The sequence below is a fragment of the Homo sapiens genome, chromosome 5 (genome assembly GCF_000001405.40).
Source record: "Homo sapiens chromosome 5, GRCh38.p14 Primary Assembly".
Lineage (NCBI taxonomy): Eukaryota > Metazoa > Chordata > Mammalia > Primates > Hominidae > Homo > Homo sapiens.
The window spans coordinates 133004071-133020847 of record NC_000005.10 but is presented as its reverse complement, the minus strand read 5'-3'; the positions used below and the strand labels follow the sequence as shown (position 1 = coordinate 133020847).

Sequence of the window (16777 nt, the reverse complement as noted above, 5' to 3'; positions counted from 1 at the left end):
TCGGGAGGCTGAGGCAGGAGAATGGCATGAACCCGGGAGATGGAGCTTGCAGTGAGCCAATATTGCACCACTGCACTCCAGCCTGGGTGACAGAGTGAGACTCCGTCTCAAAAAAAAAAAAATTTTTAGTTTCAGTTGTTGCTGGTAGTCTTGTGTCTAATGATCTTATGTCCTCTGACCTTACTAATTTATTAGTTCTAATAGCTCTTTTTTTTTTTTTTTTTTAAAGACAGGCTTTTGCTTTGTCAGACAGGCTAGCGTGTAGTTGTATGATCATATCTCGTTGCAGCCTTGAACTCCTGGCTCAAATGATTCTCCCACCACAGCCTCCTGAGTAACTGAGACTACAGCTGCAACCCACTACATTCAGCAATTTTATTTTATTTTTTTATTTATATTTTTTTGAGACAGAGTCTTGCTCTGTGGCCCAGGCTGGAGTACAGTGGCGTGATCTCGGTTCCTTGCAGCCTCTGCCTCCCAGGCTCAAGTGATTCTCATGCCTCAGCCTCCCAAGTAGCTGGGATTACAGGCTAATTTTTGTATTTTCAGTGGAGTTGGGGTTTTGCTGTATTGGCCAGGCTGGTCTTGAACTCCTGGTATCAAGTGATCTGCCTTGGCCTTCCAAAGTGCTGGGATATTACAAGTGTGAACCACCGCTCCTGGCCACAATTTTATTTTTTGTACAGGCAGGGTGTCACTATGTTGCCCAGGCTTGTCTTGAACTCCTGGGCTCAAATGATCCTCCCACCTCTGTTTCCCAAAGTGCTGGGATTATAGGCATGAGCCACTGTGCCTGGCCTAGTTGCTCTATTGTTTGGATTCTTAGGTATTTTCTAGATAAATGATCATCTTTTATGTTCTCTTTTTGGTATGTACTTTTCTTTTTTTTTTTTTTTGAGCTGGAGTCTCACTGTGTCACCCAGGCTAGAGTGCAGAGGCACGATTTCAGCTCACTGCAACCTCTGCCTCTGGGATTCAAGCAATTCTCCTGTCTCAGCCTCCCAAGTAGCTAGGACTACAGATGCACCACCCCACGCAGCTAATTTTTTTATTTTTAGTAGAGACGGGTTTTACCATGTTGGCCAGGCTGGTCTTGAACTCCTGACCTCAAGTGATCCACCCGCCTTCGCCTCCCAAAGTGCTGGGATTACAGGTCTGAGTCACTGCACCCAGCTGGTATGCACATTTAAAATTTTTTTGTTGCATATTAACAAGTTGCCCTTTGAAAAATTTGTGCCACTTTACATTCTTACCAGCGGTGTCCATTTACAGAGTGGCTATTCCCTGCTTTTGCCAACAATAGGCATTAAAAAAACAACTTTGCCAATATGGCAAGTGTGTCCTAGTATTTTTGGTATCAAAGAACGTCATTTCACGTAAAAAGCCTGTACCGTTACAATACATCCCTCAGCCTTACCTTAGCAAATAGAAATGAAATATTGTTTGAATAGATAATTCATTTGGGTAGAAAGAAATGGTAATCTTGTTTGTTTCGAAATTTTGTTTGTCTAACTCAGCAATCTTTATGGAAAATTAGTATTTTTAGGGGTGATTTGTGAGTTGTGAGTGTTTAAAACATACATATAAAATATGTTAATCATACCTGGGCTTCATTTGTTTTCTCTCTCTGTTTTTTTTTTTTAGAGACAGTGTTGCCCAGGCTGGTCTCAAACTCCTGAGCTCGGGTGATCCTGCCTTGGCCTCTCAAAGTGCCAGGATTATAGGCGTGAGCCACTGCGTCCAGCCTCATACCTGAGCTTTAGATGATATTTGTGAATGTCGTATTTATAACAATAAAAAACAAACTCCAGAATGTCTGGTGGATATTTTTAATGACTAGGGTCCCAAGCTACCAGTTTCTCAATATGGAGAAAACAACCTATAAGCTTGGAAAAGAAGACTATGGACCCCCACCGCCAACACCCTCACATATTTTCATTTTTAGGGAAAATCGTGAAAGGCTTTGAAATGGACAGAAAGAAAAGACGATTACTGAGTGCTCTGTCTAGTCCAACCTTCCTGGCTATGTGACTCTATGAGGGCCTGCTTCTTTCATTGTCTTTGCACTGTTTCTCAAATCTTTAAGTCATAGGAAACTTACAGTATTGCAGAAGATTCTTGCCCATAAAAATGCAGCGCAGGCTGGACGTGGTGGCTCACGCCTGTAATCCCAGCACTTTGGGAGGCCAAGGTGGGCCGAGGCCAAGGATCACCTGAGGTCAGGAGTTCAAGACTAGCCTGGTTAACATGACGAAACCCTGTCTCTACTAAAAATACAAAAATTAGTAGGGCAGGGTGGCACACCCTGTAGTCCTAGCTACTTGGGAGGCTGAGGCACGAGAATCGTTTGAACCTGGGAGGCGGAGGTTGCAGTGAACCGAGATTGCGCCACTGTACTCCAGCCTGGACGACAGAGGAAGACTCCGTCTCAAAAAAAAGAGAGAGGCCAAGGAGGGAGGATTGCTTCAGCCCAGGAGTTTGAGACCTGATTGGGCAACATAGTGAGACCTTTTCTCTATTGTAATTAAAAAAAAAAAAAAATCAGCTTGCTGAAGATCATATAGCTATGTAGTAAAAGAGTAAAGATTTCTTTAAAACATTAAAGAAGTGCTGGGATTGCAGGTGTGAACCAACACACCTGGCCTTGGTTTGTTTACTATCTGTGCACTAGAGTTTAATTTTGTCTTTTTTTTTTTTTTTTTTGAGACAGATTCTCACTTTGTTGCCCAGACTGGAGTGCTGTGGTGCGATCTCGGCTCACTGCACCCTCCGCCTCCTGGTTTCAAGCAATTCATAGGCCTCAGCCTCCCACGCAGTTGGGACTACAGGCATGTGCCACAACACCCAGCTAATTTTTTGTATTTTTAGTAGAGACAGAGTTTTGCCATGTTGGCCAGGCTAGTCTCGAACTCCTGGCTTCAAGTGATCCACCCACCTGGCCTCCTAAAGTGTTGGGATTACAGGAGTGAGCTACCACACCTGGCTGTCTCTTTAAACTTTGTATAGAATCGTTCAATCGTTCAATTTGGATTGTTTTGAGTCTATCTTATATCTTATGTTAAATGAAGCTGTAATTTATTCTTTGTTATTACCATGAAGTATTCCTCTGTATTCTGTACCACAAACTTCTGTTCTACTTTCATATTATTTCCAATTTTGAGAATACTGCAAATCATGCTGCCAAGCACAGTGGCTCATGCCTACAATCCCAGCACTTTGGGATGCTGAGGTGGGAAGATTGCTTGAGGCCAGGAGTTTGAAACCAGCCTAGGAAACATAGTGAGACCCTATCTTTACAAAAACTAAAAATATTAGCCATGTGTGGTGGTGCGCACCTGTGGTCCCAGCTGCTTGAGAGGCTGAGGTGGAAGGATGGCTTGAGCTCAGGAGATTCAGGTTGCAGTGAGCCATGATCACATCATCACACTCCAGTCTGGGCAGCAGAGTCAGACACTGTCTCAAAAATGAAAAAAAAAAATCATGCTATGGACATTTTTATAGTTCTTCCTCTTCCCTTCCTGAACAATGCAATCCTAAAGGTATTGGGTAGAATAGAGCACACTAGGTGTCTATGCAGAGGGTCAACTTGGCTTTGAAATATTAGAGCTGAATGTGGGGTCAGGAGAGCACCTACAGAGGAGCTTGAACTGGCTTGTGATGTCAGCAGGTTGCAGAGGTCATCCAGTAGTGGGGAAGTCCAATGCAGGGTGTCAGATCCCAAGCTGGGTCAAAGGTGTCCACACGAGGCAGTTTAACAAAAGTTGTCTCCTCATGGAGAGAATATCCACACGAGGCAGTTTAACAAAAGTTGTTTCCTCATGGAGAGAATATCCACACAGGGTATGTGAGTAGGTATAATTTGGTATAGGGTACCAGAGCCTGTGTATAAAGAGAAATGTGTCTGGGGGGGGCCTGCCTGGCAATGGGAGTCGTGGGTGGGGGTGCAGGGCAGATTCCAAGTGAAGTTAAGAGGATATGGGGGAGGAGGCAGCAGTGGCAACAATGGGCAATTGGTTACATAAGGGGAATTGACCAAATAAGTAATCTATTAAGGATAGTGGGAGCCAGGTTTCTTCCTGAAGAAGGAAGTATAGAAGAGAAAAATAGCTGTGCGCGGTGGGTCACACCTATAATCCCAGCACTTTGGGAGGCTGAGGCGGGCAGATCACCTGAGGTCAGGAGTTCAAGACCAGCCTGGCCAATGTGGTGAAACCCCACCTCTACTAAAAATACAAAAATTAGCCGGGTGTGGTGGCAGGCGCCTGTAATCCCAGCTACTTGGGAGGCTGAGGCAAGAGAATCGATTGAACCCCGGAGGCGGAGGTTGCAGTGAGCCAAGATTGCGCCATTGCACTCCAGCCTGGGCACAGGCGCAAAACTCCGTCTCAGAATAAAAAAAAAAGAGAAAAATAAATAATAATTGCTTCTCAGCTTTTTGGCTAAGATCAAGCGGAGAAAAATTTTAAAAATCTGTGAAATTGGGTTAGAATTAAAATTATCAGTGTGAAATCATGGTTTTCAAAATATTAAATATAGATGTAAGTATGTATATTTGACAGGTGAGTAGGTGTGTGTGTTCCCTAGCTCTGTCCACTGACACTAACTGGAGCGCAATGTCCCAGTAACAGCAAGCACGTGTGTGCCCCCATGTTGGCTCCAAACATTATCAGATCACCTTGGAGAAATGGCTGGTTTCAGGCTGGAGCAGGGAAAATACAAACTGAGCCTATATTTTTTTGTTGTTGTACCAGAAATCAAGGAAATACCCAAATAATAAAGGAGCCATGTCAAAAGAACACATAATCCAGCTTGAAGGAGCTCCCACTGACCAAAACTGTGACAATTTGAGCCTCAGACTAAAAGATGGTGATGGATTATAACCCATTGAATAAAATGGAAAAACATTAATCCACACTCATGAATAAAGGAACTAAATATTTAATGAGGAGTAGGATATTTATGGATTTTCAAGTATTAGCCCACAAAATAATTATTAGTTATCAATTGCTGTGTAACAGATTACTCCTAAAATTTAGTGGCTTATAACAATAAATATCAATTCACAGTTTCCCTGGGTCAGGAATTGAGGAGTGACCTAGGCGAGTGGTTCTGACTCAGTCTCTCCCATGTGGTTGTGATCAGGATGTTGGCAGGGGCAGCAGTTATCTGAAGGCTTGACCAGAACTGGGAATCTGCTTCCAAGATGGTTCACTTACATGGCTATTGACAGCAGGGTAAGGTTCCTTGCCACATGGGTCATTGTGGAGGCTGCTTGAGTAACTTCATGACATGGCAGCTACTTGACCTAGTCTTCAAAGTCACACTCCCTCACCTTGCTTCATTCTGTTAGTTGGAAGCAAGTTGTGAAGTCCAAGCCACACCCAAGGAGAGGGGAATTACAATTCCACAAAATTTGTGAACATATTTTAAAACTGCCACAATTACAAAAGGATGAAAAGTAACTTTACAGGCCAAACGCGGTGGCTTCTGCCTGTAATCCCAGCACTTTGGGAGGCCAAGTCAGCCAGATCACTTGAGGTTAGGAGTTCGAGACCATCCTGGCCAACATGGTGAAACCCTGTATCTGCTAAAAATACAAAAATTAGCTGAGTGTGGTGGTGCGCACCTGTAATCCCAGCTACTCAGTAGGCTGAGGCAGGAGAATCTCTTGAGCCCAGGAGGCAGAGGCTGCAGTGAGCTGAGATCACGCCACTGCACTCCAGCCTGGGTGACAGAGCAAGACTTAGTCTCAAAAAAAAAAAAAAAAAAACCTCACAGTGGCGAAGTCTGGTAGGCACTCCTTAATCAAGGGATCAAAGTGAACATCATCAGTAATAAAACAAATTGAAATCTTATGTTAACCTGATAGGATACAATGAGAAGTACACAGCATCACTTCTGTTTTATTCCTGCCAAAGATACTCAGAGATATCAGATGTGATAGCCAGCCTCTAAGATGGACTATGATGATCTCTGTCTCCTGGTACACCCTTGTGTAATCACGCATTATACCATGGTTGGTCTGTGTGATCAGTAGAATACAGCAAAACTGATGGTCTTGGTCATTCACTCTGGGCGAAGCTGTGTTGTAAGCACTGTGGAAAGGCCAACATGGCAAGGAACTAAAGCCTTCTGCAAATAGCCACATGAGTGGGCTTGGAAGCAAATTTTCCAACTCAAATTGAAGCACACTGTGAAGATACCTGGCTTGCAATCTTCTAAAAGTGTCAAGATCATGAAAAGCAAGACGTGACTGAGGAACTCTTCCCTACTGAAGGAGACTAAAGAAATGTGACAAGTGCAACTGTGGTGCTGAACTGAATTTGCTATACGGGACGTTAAGACATTTGATGCAACTTAGGTGTGGTCTAAAGAATAAATAGGTCTGGGCGCGGTGGCTCACGCCTGTAATCCCAGCACTTTGGGAGGCTGGGGTGGGCGGATCATCTGAGGTCAGGAGTTCAAGACCAGCCTGACCAACATGGAGGAAACCCCCCCTTTACTAAAAATACAAAAAAAAATTAGCCAGGCGTGGTGGCACATGCCTGTAATCCCAGCTACTGGGGAGGCTGAGGCAGGAGAATTGCTTGAACCTGGGAGGCGGAGGTTGTAGCGAGCTGAAATCGCGCCATTGCACTCCAGCCTGGGCAACAAGAGCAAAACTCCGTCTCAAAAAAAAAAAAAAAAAAAAAAGAGTAAATAGTAGGAATGTATCAACATTAATTTCTTGATTTTGATTGATATATAGGAGAAAGTTCTAGTTTACAGAAAATATGCAGGAAAATATTCTGGGTTGATGAGGAATCAAGTGGGCAGCTTACAAATGATTCAGGAAAAATAATTATTTGAAACAGAGTTAGAACTTTTCTGTAAGGTTGTGACTGAAAATTTTTAAAAGCTATAATACATAAAGGAAAAGCAATATTGTAAATATTTTTTGGTATACTTGTGCATAGATTTCTATTGCATACAAGTAGAATTGCTGGGCCATAGAGTAAGCATATCTTTTCAACTATAGTAAATGGTTGTTTTTGAGGCTTTTTTTTTTCCCAAAATAGTTGTACCAATTTGTATTCTTATCAATAGTGGATGGATGTTTCTTTTCCTACATATATATATATTGTTTGAGATGGAGTCTTGCTTTGTTGCCCAGGCTGGAATGCAGTGGCGCAATCTTGGCTGGCCACAGCATCCGCCACCTGGGTTCAAGCGATTCTCCTGCCTCAGCCTCCCAAGTAGGTGGGACTACAGGCGCGCACCACCATGCCCAGCTAATTTTTGTATTTTTAGTAGAGACGAGGTTTCACTATGTTGTCCAGGCTGGTCTCGAACTCCTGACCTCGTGATCTGCCCGCCTCAGCCTTCCAAAGTGCCAGGATTACAGGTGTGAGCCACCACGCCTGGCCTCTTTTGCTACATATCTTTGCTAACATTTGCTATTACTAGTTTTTATTTTTAGTCTTTCTGGGAGTTGTGTAGTGGTGTTTTGTTGGGGTTTTAATTTGCTTTTCTTTGATTACTAATGAATACTTTTTCATATGTTTATTGTTAATTTGTGTTTCCTAGTCCCTTTTTTTTTTTTTTTTCTTGGAGATGGAGTCTCACTCTGTCGCCCAGGCTGGAGTGCAGCAGTGCTATCTCGGCTCACTGCAATCTGTGCCTCTCGGGTTCAAGCAATTCTCCTGCCTCAGCCTCCCAAGTAGCTGGGACCACAGGTGTGCGTTGCCATGCCCAGCTAATTTTTTGTATTTTTATTTTTATTTATTTATTATTTTTTTTTTTTTTTAATTTTTTTTTGAGACGGAGTCTCCCTCTGTCACCCAGGCTGGAGTGCAGTGGCGCTATCTGGGCTCACTGCAAGCTCCGCCTCCCAGGTTCACGCCATTCTCCTGCCTCAGCCTCCTGAGTAGCTGGGACTACAGGCACCCGCCACTGCGCCCGGCTAATTTTTTTGTATTTTTAATAGAGACGGGGTTTCACCGTGTTAGCCAGGATGGTCTCCATCTCCTGACCTTGTAATCCGCCCACCTCGGCCTCCCAAAGTGCTGGGATTACAGGCGTGAGCCACCACACCCGGCCTATTTTTTGTATTTTTAGTAGAAATGAGGTTTCACCATGTTGTCCAGGCTGGTCTTGGACTCCTGACCTCAAGTGATCTACCCACCTTGGCCTCCCAAAGTGCTGGGATTATAGGCATGAGCCACTGTGACCGGCCCCTAGTCCCATTTTTGTACTATCTTTTCATATTCTACTTCATCTTATTTTTCTGTTATCCATCTTTCTTTTTTTTTTAATTAAAATCTTCCCTACTTGTTCTTTTACAAGGGCATTTTGTCTGTTACTGGCCTTTTGAATTTCTGTACACTTTTTTTTTTTCTTTGAGATGGAGTCTCACTCTGTTGCCTAGGCTGGAGTGCAGTTGTGTGATCTTGACTCACTGCAACCTCTGCCTCCTGAGTTCAAGAAATTCTCCTGCCTCAGCCTCCCAAGTAGCTGGGATTACAGGCATGCACCACCACACCCGGCTAATTTTTATATTTTTAGTAAAGATGGGGTTTCACTGTGTTGGCCAGGCTGGTCTCGAACTCCTGGCCTCAGGTGATTCGCCTGCCTCAACCTTCCAAGGTGCTGGGATTACAGGCGTGAGCCACTGAGCCTGGCCCACTTTTTTCTTTTTTTCTTTCTTTCTTTCTTTTTTTTTTTTTTTTTTTGAGATGGAGGCTCACTCTGTCGCTCAGGCTAGGGTGCAGTGGCATGATCTTGGTTCACTGCAACCTCTGCCTCCCAGGTTTGAGCAATTCTCCTGCCTCAGCCTCCCAAGTAGCTGGGGACTACAGGTGCCTGCCACCATGCTCAGATAATGTTTTAGAAATTTTTTTTGGTGGAGATGGGCTTTCACCATGTTGCCCACACTGGTCTCGAACTTCTGACCTCAAATGATCTGCCTACCTTGGCCTCCCAGAGCGCTGGGATTACAAGAGAGAGCCATCAAGCCTGGCTGTGTACATATTTTAGAATGAGCTTGTTAAGTTCTGCACCCAAAAAAACTTTTGGGATTTTTATTGGAATTGCTTTGAATCTATACAGGAATTTGGGGAGAACTGACATTTTATAATACTGAACCTTCCAGTCTATGAACATGGTATATCTCTCTATTTGTTTAGCTACTTTTATTGGTATTTAATTTATCTCAGTCAGGTTTTTTTTTTTTTTTTTTTTTTTTAGATGGAGTCTCACTGTATTGCCCAGGCTGGAGTGCAGTGGTATGATCTTGGCTCACTGCATCCTCTGCTGCCCAGGTTCAAGCAATTCTCCTGCCTCAGCCTCCCGAGTAGCTAGGATTACAGGTGTCTACCACTGCACGCAGCTAAATTTTTTTGTATTTTTATTAGAGATGGGGTTTCATCATCGTGGCCAGGATGGTCCTGAATTCCTGACCTTGTGATCCACCTGCCTTGGCCTCCCAAAGTGTTGGGATTACAGGTGTGAGCCACCATGCCTGGCCTAAGGTTTGTTTTTGCATAAAAGTCTCACACTTCTTTTCTCTGTTTTCTAGGTATTTGGTAGTTTTTAGGATTATTATAAATATTATCTTTTTAAAATGTTCACTTATGCAGTGGCTCATGTCTGTAATCTGGGAGGCCAAAGCAGGAGGATTGCTTGAGCCCAGGAGTTCAAGACCAGCCGGGGCAACTTAGTGAGACCTCTTCTCTAAAAAAGAAAAAAAAAATATTTTTAAATTAAAAAGTTCCTTTTAGCCAGGTGCGGTGGCTCACACCTGTAATCCCAACACTTTGGGAGGCCAAGGTGGGTGGATCACTTGAGGTCTGGAGTTCAAGACCAGCCTGACCAACATAGTGAAACCCCATCTCTACTAAAAATACAAAAACTAGCTGGGTGTGGTGGCAGGCGCCTGTAATCCCAGCTACTTGGGAGGCTGAGGCAGGAGAATCGCTTGAATCCGGGAGGTGGATGTTGCAGTGACCTGAGATTGCGCCATTGCACTCCAGCCTGGGCAACAAGAGCAAAACTCCATCTCAAAAAGAAAAAAAAAAGTTCCTTTTAAACTGTTTTTGTGGCTGGGTGCAGTGATTCATGCCTGTAATCGCAGCACTTTGGGAGGCCAAGGTGCGAGGATCACTTGAGCTCAGGAATTTGAAACTAGCCTGGGCAACATAAGGAGACCTCATCTCTACAAACAAAATACGAAAACTGTTTTTTGTTATATAGAAACTCAATTCGTCTTTATATGGTGTCTCTATAGCTAATATAAGGTTCCACAAACCATGGTCACTGAATCCTGCCTGCTACCTGTTTTTGGAGGCTCATAAGCTAAGAATGTTGTTTATATATGAGCCTTCATTTCATCCACAAAATATGGAAATTTGTTTTCTCTCATGTTATATGAGTACCTATATAACATCCACAGTTTTGCCTCTTGTTCCACAAAGCCTATAATATTTACTACCTGACCCTTTACAGAAAAATTTGCTGACCTGTACTGGGCACGGTGGCTCACACCTGTAATCCTAGCACTTTGTGAGGCTGAGGCAAGTGGATTGCCTGAGCCTAGGAGTTCGAGACCAGCCAGGATAATACGGTGAAACCCCGTCTCTACTAAAATAAAAAAAATTAGCCGTGCGTGGTGGTGTGTGCCTGTAGTCCCAGCTACTCCCGAAGCTGAGGCAGGAAAATTGCTTGAACCTGGGGGGCAGAGGCTGCAGTAAGCCAAGATCGTGCCACTACACTCTAGCCTGGGCGACAGAGCAAGACTTCATCTCCAAAAAAAAAAAAAAAATTGCTGACCCAAATTTAAAACCTTGCTAAACTCACTTAATTCTAATTATTTCAAAATATTTTATCTGTAGATTCATTAGGATTTACAGTGTACCTAACACTTTATCGATAAGAAATGACAGGTTTATTTCTTCCTTTTCAATTCTTTTACTTCTTTTTCTTCCTTGGCTGTATCTCAGTCCAATTTCAGGGACTGGATTTTTCTCAGTCTTCTAGGTAACTAGAAGTTGGCTGAAGTTTCTAAGAACTTGGGTTTATTTGTAGGGTATAGCCCTTCGTCTTAACTCTGACACAGAGTTTATCTCCCTAGCTTGTAATATGTGATGCTTACCCTGTTGCGATGGACAGACACACCCAGCACAAAAGTTGACTTAATTCTAGATTTCTATCTTCTTCCATATCTTGTTTTGATTATTCTTTTTTTTTTTTTTTTTTTTGAGACGGAGTCTTACTCTGTCGCCCAGGCCAGAGTGCAGTGGCATGATCTCAGCTCACCGCAACCTCTGCCTCCTTAAGTTCAAACAATTCTCCTGCCTCAGCTTCCTGAGTAGCTGAGATTACAGGTGTGTGCCACCAAGCCTGGCAATTTTTGTTTTAGTAGAGACGGGTTTCACCATGTTGGCCACGCTGGTCTCGAATTTCTGACCTCAAGCAATCCGCCCACCTCAGCCCCACAAAGTGCTGGGATTATGGGAATGAGCCACCGCACCTGGCCATCTTTTTTGGTTTTTTTTAAGAGACAGAATCAGGCAGGGTGCAGTGGCTCATGCCCGTAATCCCAGCACTTTGGGAGGCCGAAGTAGGTGGATCACTTGAGGCCAGGAGTTTGAGACCAGCCTGGCCAACATGGCAAAACCCCACCTCTACAAAAAATACAAAAATTAGCCGGGCGTGATAGTGCATGCCTGTAGTCTCAACTACTCAGGAGGCTGAGGCAGGAGAATTGCTTGAACCTGGGAGGCTTGTGGTGAGCCGAGATCGTGCCACTGCACTCTTGGCCTGGGCAACAGAGTGAGACTTCATCTTTAAAAAAAAAAAAAAAGAGAATCTCCCTCTGTCACCCAAGTTGAAGTGCAGTGGTGCAATCATAGCTTACTGTAGCCTCAAACTCCTGGGCTCAATTGCACCTCCTATCTCAGCTTCCCAAGTAGCTGGGACTACAGCTGTTTGCCACCACACGCGGCTAATTTTTGTAGTTTTTTTTAGAGACAGGGTTTCACCATGTTGCCCAGGCTAGTCTCAAACTTCTGAGCTCAAGTTATCTGCCTCCCTTGGCCTCCCAAAGTGCTGGGATTACAAGCGTGAACCACCAGGCCTGGCCCTGGCTAATTTTTCAAAATTTGTTGTAGAGATTGAGTCTTGCTGTGTTGTCCTGCCTGGCTGGTCTCAAATTCCTGGCCTCAAGCAATCTTTCCACCGTGGCCTCCCAAAATGCTGGGATTACAGACCTGAGCCATTTCAGCTGGTCAGCTTGACCCCCTTGTTGATTCTCTGATTTTTTTTTTTTTTTTTTGAGATGGAGTCTCACCCTGTTGCCCAGGCTGGAGTACGATGGCGCAATCTCGGCTCACTGCAACCTCCGCCTCCCAGGTTCAAATGATTCTCCTGCCTCAGCCTCCCATGTAGCTGGGATTACAGGTGCCCACCACCACGCCCAGCTAATTTTTGTATTTTTAGTAGAGACAGGGTTTCACCATGTTGGCCAGGCTGGTCTCAAACTCCTGACCTCCTGATCCACCTGCCTCAGCCTCCCAAAGTGCTGGGATTACAGGCGTGAGCCACTGCTCCCGGCCTGATTTTCTGATTCTTTTTTTTTTTTTTTTTTTGAGACAGAGTCTCACTCTGTCACCCAGACTGGAGTGCAGTGGCGCAATCTCGGCTCACTGCAAGCTTTGCCTCCCAGGTTCACACCATTCTCCTGCCTCAGTCTCCCCAGTAGCTGGGACTACAGGCACCCACCACCACGCCCGGCTAATTTTTTATATTTTTAGTAGAGACAGGGTTTCACCGTGTTAGCCAGGATGGTCTCGATCTCCTGACCTCGTGATCCGCCTGCCTTAGCCTCCCAAAGTGCTGGGATTACAGGTGTGAGCCACCACACCTGGCTGATTTTCCGATTCTTAAAGAAGCTTGTTAAAAATGTTTTGACGGTCTTTTCTAGTTCTGAGCTGGAAAGTAGTCTGAATGCCCTAGTCTCACATAACTGGAACAGAATTGAGGAGCCAAGATTTGAATTCAACTGTATCTTAACTTCAAGGTCTATGCTTTTAACCATTTATTATATGTATTAATCCATTTTCACACTGCTGATAAAGACATACCCAAGACTGGGCAATTTACACAACAAAAAAGTTTATTGGAATCACAGTTCAGCATGTCTGGGGAGGCCTCACAATCATGGCAGAAGGCAAGGAGGAACAAGTCACATCTTACATGGACGGCAGCAAGAAAAGAGAGAGAGACTGTGCAGGGAAACTCCTGTGGTTTTTTGTTTTTTTTTTTTTTTGTGAGACGGAGTCTCGCTCTGTTGCCCAGGCTGGAGTGCAGTGGTGCAACCTTGGCTCACTGCAAGCTCTGCCTCCCGGGTTCATACCATTCTCCTGCCTCAGCCTCCTGAGTAGCTGGGACTACAGGCGCCCACCACCACGCTTGGCTAATTTTTTTGTATTTTTAGTGGAGATGGGGTTTCACCATGTTAGCCAGGATGGTCTCAATCTCCTGACCTCGTAATCCGCCTGCCTTAGCCTCCCAAAGTGCTGGGATTATAGGTGTGAGCCACCACACCCAGCCGGAAACTCCTATTTTTAAAACCATCAGATCTTGTGAGATTTATTCACTATCACAAGAACAGCACAGGAAAGACTTGCCCCTATGATTAAGTTACCTCCCACCAGGTTTCTCCCACAACATGTGGGAATTCAAGATGAGATTTAGATGGGGACACAGCCAAACCATGTCATTACACTTATTATACTTTGTTGTATTAAATCTCACAAGGGTAAAATGTTGATTTTTATGAATTGGACCATAAGAGTAAACATAATTTTATCCTTTATATTTTTTTATAGTTTTTAGGGTGAAAGTCACAAGACAGAATTTTAAGGCTTGTATTCTGTTTTTTGTTCTGTAGTGAAGCAAATAAGCAACATGTAAGATGTCAGAAATGCTTGGAATTTGGACATTGGACTTATGAATGCACAGGAAAAAGAAAATACCTACATAGGCCCTCAAGGACAGCAGAACTAAAGAAAGCTTTAAAAGAAAAAGAAAACAGATTATTATTGCAACAAAGGTAGGTTTACATGTGGTATCCAAAGGAATATTTTTTTAATGTGTATATAGAATTTATTAAAGGACCAAACGTTTCATGGTGGTTCTCCAGATTTTAATTATAATGTTACTAATGTTTAATAGATGCTTACTGTGTGCCAAGTACTATTCTAGGGTCTTTATAAGTATTAGCTTATTTAAACCTGATATCTACACTATTAAGGTAGGTAGTATTATTGTCTTCATTTTACATATGAAGAAACTAAAGCAAGGAGATGTTGAATAACTTACTCATTGTCATACAGCTAGTAAGAAGAAAAAGTAAGTGTTAAATCATGCAGCCTGTCCCCCAGATTCATGGTCTTAATCATTTTGCTTTTTTGCCTCAACTGTCAATGAAATGACAATTGAATTAACCGATAGATTATATGAGCTGACATGGAAAGCTATCCAAGAAGTACCAGGTATATTAATTAAGGTAGAGAACAGAATATATAATATGCTATGATTTATGTTTATAAAAAGAAGAATTGGCTGGGCGGGGTGGCTCACACCTATAATCCCAACACTTTGGGAGGCCGACGCCTGGCCAACATGGTGAAATTCCATCCCTACTAAAAATACAAAAATTAGCCGGGCATAGTGGCAGGTACCTGTAATCCCAGCTACTCAGGAGGCTGAGGCAAGAGAATCACTTGAACCTGGGAGGTGGAAGTTTTGGTGAGCTGAGATTGTGCCACTGCATTCCCGACTGGGCAACAGAGGGAGACTCTGTCTCAAAAAAAAAAAAAAAAAAAAAAAAGCAGCATCTTCCTAAGGGCTGTTAGCTGTATAATAGTGTCTTAAATATTTAGACTTTCAAGGCAACAGTCTTCCAATTTGTGACGTGAAAGTTCTTCAAGCGTTATGCAGGAATAGATAACCAATTTCTAGATTATCAACATTCATATACAATTCTTCCTAAAACAAATCTGATGAGAACTTGCCTACTGGTCTCCTTTTCTACTTCCCCTTTTCTAACAACGCTTCTCTAATCTCACAAAAGAAAGGTATACCTCTCACCCATCTCTAACATACCTTAGTGTATTGTCCTCACGTATAAAAACCTAGATGGCAGAATAGTGGTGTTTGTGCTGAGAAAGTGAATGGTCATAATAGTTTTGTTTGTTTGTTTTGAGACAGAGTCTCACTGTGTCATCCAATCTGGAGTGCAGTCTCAGCTCACTGCAACCTCCACCTCCTGGGTTCAAGTAATTCTCCCACCTCAGCCTCCCCAGTAGCTGAGACTTCAGATGCACACCACCACGCCTGGCTAATTTTTTGTATTTTTGGTAGAGATGGGATTTTGCCATGTTGCCCAGGGTGGTCTCAAACTCCTGAGCTCTAGCAATCCACCCACCTCAGCCTCCCAAAGTGCTGGGATTATAGGCATGAGCCACCATGCCCAGCTGGCCATAATTTTTTAGAGTAAAAAATTTTTTTTTTGAGACAGAGTCTTGCTCTGTCACCCAGGCTGGAGTGCAGTGGTGCGATCTCAGCTCACTTCGACCTCTGCTTCCCAGGTTCATGTGATTGTGCCTCAGCCTCCGGAGTAGCTGGGAGTATAGGTGCGTGCAACAACACCTGGCTAATTTTTTGTATTTTTAGTAGAGACTGGGTTTCACCATGTTAGCCAGGATGGTCTCGATCTCCTGACCTCATGATCTGCCCGCCTCGGCCTCCCAAAGTGCTGGGATTACAGGCGTGAGCCACCGCACCCAGCTGAGAGTAAATTCTTTTTTAAGGTTTTTCCCTCAACAAAATTGAAGATGACCTAATTGAATTGTCAATTAAAAAGCATATTTTAATGGAATATTATTATGTGACTTGTGGCATATAACAGATGGAATGCAGAGAATCGAGTGACATGGAAATAACAAAAGTCTTTCCATTCCAATCAATCTATTTAGGTTAGGGTTTCTCTAGGTTAAATATGTAACACTTAAGAATTAAGCCGGGCACGGTGGCTTACACCTGTAATCCCAGCACTTTGGGAGGCCGAGGCAGGCAGATCACGAGGTCAGGAGATGGAGATCTTCCTGGCTAACACAGTGAAACCCTGTCTCTACTAAAAAGATACAAAAAATCAGCCGGGCGTGGTGGTGGGCACCTGTAGTCCCAGCTATTCGGGAGGCTGAGCCAGGAGAATGGCGTGAACCCGGAAGGCGGAGCTTGCAAGGGAGCCGAGATCGCGCCACTGCACTCTAGCCCGGGTGACAGAGCGAGACTCCGTCTCAGAAAATAAAAATAAAAATAAAATAAGAACTAAGCCGGGCGCGGTGGCTCATGCCTGTAATCCCAGCACTTTGGGAGGCCAAGGCGGGTGGATCACCTGAGGTTGGGAGTTTGAGACTAACATGACCAACATGGAGAAACCCCGTCTCTACTAAAAATACAAAATTATCCAGACGTGGTGGCGCATGCCCATAATCCCAGCTGCTTGGGAGGCTGAGGCAGGAGAATCACTTGAACCCGGGAGGCGGAGGTTGTGGTGAGCCGAGACTGCACCATTGCACTTCAGCCTAGGCAACGAGAGCGAAACTCCATCTCAAAAAAAAAAAAAGAAATTAAAAATAAGAAATAATTCCCAAGGAGCCATCTCTATTGAAAAAATAAAATTTAAAAATAGGAATTTAATTGATGCCAAACCTGGTCACATTCTACCATGAAG

At 43.7% G+C, this 16777-nt stretch overlaps 1 protein-coding gene across 15 annotated transcripts in view; it reads left to right on the top strand.

Annotated features, from left to right (window-relative positions):
* The window catches only part of ZCCHC10 (zinc finger CCHC-type containing 10), a 29565-nt gene that overhangs the window by 5702 nt on the left and 7086 nt on the right, over positions 1-16777 (top strand). For 12 of the 15 annotated variants that reach the window (NR_125337.3, NR_131767.2, NM_001300819.3 and 9 more), the window contains one exon: positions 13928-14089. The exons of 2 other annotated variants lie outside the window; for them this stretch is intronic. Coding sequence is in view for 10 of the 13 variants with exons in the window: in NM_001300819.3 (NP_001287748.1) it covers positions 13928-14089 (162 nt within the window). In the remaining 3 variants the exon portion in view is untranslated. Of the gene's footprint in view, positions 1-9392; positions 9510-13927; positions 14090-16777 lie in introns of all 15 variants that reach the window. One more of the 15 variants, NR_131766.2, reaches the window with a different exon arrangement.